General features: G+C 33.8%; 1 long non-coding RNA gene across 1 annotated transcript; it reads left to right on the plus strand.

Annotated features, from left to right (window-relative positions):
• The first annotated feature begins 240 nt into the window (after positions 1-240).
• LOC105374829 (uncharacterized) lies at positions 241-3,766 on the plus strand. The gene is made up of 3 exons (XR_001739195.1): positions 241-279; positions 1,138-1,257; positions 2,779-3,766. It is a non-coding gene; the product is annotated as an uncharacterized LOC105374829 (long non-coding RNA).
• Positions 3,767-4,599: the final 833 nt, after the last annotated feature.

Raw genomic sequence — 4,599 nt, forward strand, 5'->3', positions numbered from 1 at the left:
CCTCTTTTAAAAGGTTCTAAGTTGCTAGACAAATACAGAATGTGAGGTTCCGTTCCAGCCAATGGAAACCGGACACAGCAGTAGGGTGGACGCGTCAGGTTTTAAATGACCCTGTCTCCTTTGTTCAGTGTACTCTCGTGGCAAAACTGCTGGCGAGTGTACCCTTTCTGCAGGAGGTAAAAATTGCCTTACTAAATTAAATTTATGTTCAAGTGCTATTTCTTTATGGCACTGGGGAACAAGCATTTCAAACACAATGAATGAGAAAAAAATAAACTGGTAAGTATGAACAATTATTAATTCTCAGAAACTTTAAAAAATTGATAAAATAATATAGAATGTAAGAAACAAAAAAATTCACAATTTCTAAAAAAATAAAAAGAAAAGAGAAAGGACTCTAGACTACTATAGAACCCAACAGTGGGTTTTCCAGTTTTTGTCTCTGTATTATGTGTAATCTGTATTTTGGTATCTTTATGTGAACTTAAATATAAATAGTATAAGCTAAAACAAATTTTTATACATATAGATGAGAGAAGGATTTCCAGAACCAACAGTTGGAAACAAGTTTCAAAAATTGTGGCTATTAAATGATCTTCAGGAGAAGAGAAAAGATAATGATCTACACATTCATGTATATATTGCAAGTTTTATTTTCCCTAAGTTGACATTAGAAAGCCACCTTAAGGTTACCTGTAGGTTAATTATTATATTTCATTAATTTTGCCACTTAATTGATTATAAGACTCATCACTAATTCATGTATGATTATGAACACAAAAAATTTGGAAATTTAATCATAAATATGGCTGCTTTGTTTCTGAACCCTCCTGCATAATCAAACATTTCATTTAAAAAATGACTCAGTGTAATCTTTCTGATGCCATTTTAAAAAGCAATTAAACTCAATATATATATAGTAACAATGCAGCACACAGAACAATTGCAATGAAGAAAAAAATAGCAATTATCAAGTCTGTGAACATGAAGGCAATGAAAACAATTTTATGGCTCCTGATTGGCTAACAAAGATTTTAAGACATCAATAAGATAAAAATCCATTTTATGTTTGATATTTGAAACAATGTGAATCTTACAAAAATCAATGAAATACAGTATGTCGTATTTTACTTGCAGCCCACTGCCATCTTCAGGACTTACTCCTTCCAGTTAAAAATGTTGGTCCAAAGAAAAGAGGAAAAAAAAAAAAAAGAATAGATTGTATTTATGCTGTGTTGTCGGTCAGACAACACACATGTAAGTATAGGAACACCTAAATTCAACTGCTTGTGGAATTTAATTGCAGAATAGTTCCTGTTTTACGCATTGCTCCCAGACCCCAATTGTCACCTTTACTGTTTATATTTGATAGAGGGAAAGTTTGTCAGGTATTGGCAAGCTACAGCCCCTTTTCCTCTACTTGTTTCTGTAGAGTTGGAGAGCTTTGAATTATTTTTATACTTTTAAATGGTTGAAAAAGGTAAAATAAGAATATTGGATGTGAAAAAAAAATTTAAATTTTAGTGTCCATAAATAAAGCTTTATTAGGCTGAGCACGATGGCGCATGCCTGTAATCCCAGTTACTTGGGAGCCTGAAGCACAAGAATTGTTTGAACCTGGAAGCTGAAGGTTCTAGTGGGCCAAGATTGAGAGATTGAGCCAATTTATCCAGTCTGGGTGACAGAACAAGAACTTGCCTGAAAAAAAAAAAAAAAGGAAAGAAAAGCTTTATTAGAACCAAGCCCCACCTATGTATTTACTTATTGTCTGGCTGCTTTAGCACTGTAACAGCAGCATTTAGTTGCTGCCATAAAAAGCATATATGGCCTGTAAAACCTAATCTTTTCCAGAACAAGTTTTTGCATACCTGCTCTACGTAAGTTTCTCATGACCTCTGTTTATTTGGTGCAAATTATATTACAACAGGATGACAGTTTGGAATTTTAGTAATTTTCTGTTTTCTAGTTAATAAAGGTATCCTCCCTTCAAATTTTTACTTGTGTTCAATTTTGCTAATTTCAGTATATTGAAATATGCCAATGTGCTCTTTTTCTTGTATCTTTCTTGGAACTCATACTTGTAATTTTCTAAATAGACTAGAATTACCATAATCACCTCTTCTTTGACCCATGAGATATTTAGAAGAGCTTTCCATCTTTCTGGGTTTTTCAGATGGTTTTTTTTTTTTTTTGCCTTTTCTTCTGTTGTTTTTAATCTTGCATATGTTGCCCTGAACTCAGAAAACATGGTGTATATAATTTCTAACCCTGTAAAAATGATATATAATCCTTTTTTGAAAACCAATGAGAAATTTTAAAAAGAATGTACATTTTTAGCCATGTACAGAGTTTCAATATATGTCATTTAGAAATCTTAAAATAAATTCATATTCATTATATATGATTACCAAATACTTTTATTCTTATTTTTTGCATAATTCATCTGTCAAAAGTGGAAGGTGCTGTCTTAACACTTCTGACTAAACTCATTTTAATAGAGGTTTAGATACATAAATGATTTTTAAAATTCACTCAGCAAATATTTCAGGAGCACCTAATCTGTACCCCTTAAATACAGAATACCTGCTATTATGAAGTGCTCATGATGGGAAGTATTTTATGGAAACCAAAAGAAAGTGAAACAAACTCTTTATATACTATATAGTTTTATTTCAATTCATGTAAGGGCTGTAAAGGAGACATAGGGTACTTTAGATGTGCAATAATGGAATTTACCTGAAAAGTCAGAACATTTTTTCCTTTTTGTTTTTGTGTTAGGTGCTATGTAATCTACGGTTTCCTAGGACTTGTGTGTTGAGGAAAAGATGGTGGCAGAATGAGAATTACAGACCAAGGAAAAGCAAAAGTGTGAAGGCCTTGAGCGAGGAGGAGCATGAAACTTCAGAAATGAAAGCAAGTAAAGAGGGTTGGAGTGGAGAGAGAAAGGAGAGAATGACAGCACACAAGGCTAATTCTCTGCCTGGAAGACAGGCTAAGGATTCTGGATTGTTTCCCAAGAACAAGTGAACAGTTTTAAGAAACAATATGATCCATTTTTCCCCCTATTTCAAATAAATCCGTTTGCAATGTGCAGGATGGTTTGGAGAAGACAGGCAAGACTTGATGTCAGAAGACTATTCAGGGGCTAAAGCTCTACTACCATTTATAAATGAAGGGAGTTATTCTCATTTAAGTCTCTGAAATTGAGATGTACCTACTTAAAAATTAATATTGTTATCCCTTTTATTTTTCTGTGGTCGTGAAACAAATTTGCAAAGATTATGACAGTGAGAAGTATAGTGTGGCTGATTCTTTTTTACTTCTATCCTCACAGGTTGTCTATCCTTGCTCATTCCTGAGTATAGGCCAAGCTAACCATAGGAGGAATTTATAGAGTAACTTTGAAGCAAGGATGACAACAGTCTCTTCCTAAAACTAACCCCCTCCTTGAGGGACTGACATCACCTTTGTAAAACTAATTAAAACCACATAATTAGGATTATGGAGAGGGCTAAATTCTGCTAAGATGTAGGCATAGTTTCTATAATCCCTTACTAGCCATGAGTCATGTGGCCTGAGGTCACAAGATTTGTGACTTCACCAATTGCTCCTATATAAAAAATCACTATTGTAGAACCTAATATTGACATTTTAATTTGTTTTTCATACTTTTGCTTTCTGGTAATTGACCCCACCTAGACCCATGACTCATGACTCAACTGGTCCTGTGGCCACCCCACCCAGAGGTGGACTAAGCACAAGAGGACCTTTTCTCACACCTCTGTGAGTTCATACTAAACCAATGAGCAGTACCCATTCTCTAGGTCTCTGCTCACTAAATTATTAAAACTTTAGCCTCTGAGTTCTCGGGGAGGTAGATTTGAACAATAACCAAGTCTTATGCTTACACTTGGTCAGCCTTGCATTAATTAAACTCTTTCTCTACTGCAATAGTATGGTCTCAGTGAATTGGTTTTATCTGTGCACCAGGCAGGAAAAATCTGTTGGGCAATTACAGATCCCTAATGAGTTTACCCTGAATTTTCTGTTTATTTTTCTGTGCTTCCAGATAAGTCATGATTTCCTTAAAAAGCATATCGTTGATGAGTGTATACTTTTATGTAAATAATATTGTGTTATCTCATCTTGTGTTGTTGTACCTAACTGCTGTTTTCCTCTATATGAATCAACCTTATTTATTCTGCTAATTATGGACTACCAACCCACTGAGCCCAATCATAAAAAGTACCTCAGTAACCATAATCATTCATACCCTTGAAAGGAGCTGTGTGAGATTTTCTTTGCAGTATATATCCAGAATCAAATTTCAGTTGCATAGTCTGTTTGTGTATCTCCTGACTGCCTACCATGGCCTACTTTCCATGAGAAATGGATGAGGGTTTTTATATTCTCACAGCTCACCGACACTTCATATTATTTAGTTTTCTAAATTTTATAATATATTTAAATGATAACTTTAAATAGAAGTTGTATATTTTTCAAACATACCTAAAAATACAAAGACTAAAACTGGCCTCCTGCAGTAAATAGTTACTTATGCTTGCTTTATTTAAATTTTTAAAATTATTATACTAAAAT

This window comes from Homo sapiens, chromosome 2 (assembly GCF_000001405.40).
Source record: "Homo sapiens chromosome 2, GRCh38.p14 Primary Assembly".
NCBI lineage: Eukaryota > Metazoa > Chordata > Mammalia > Primates > Hominidae > Homo > Homo sapiens.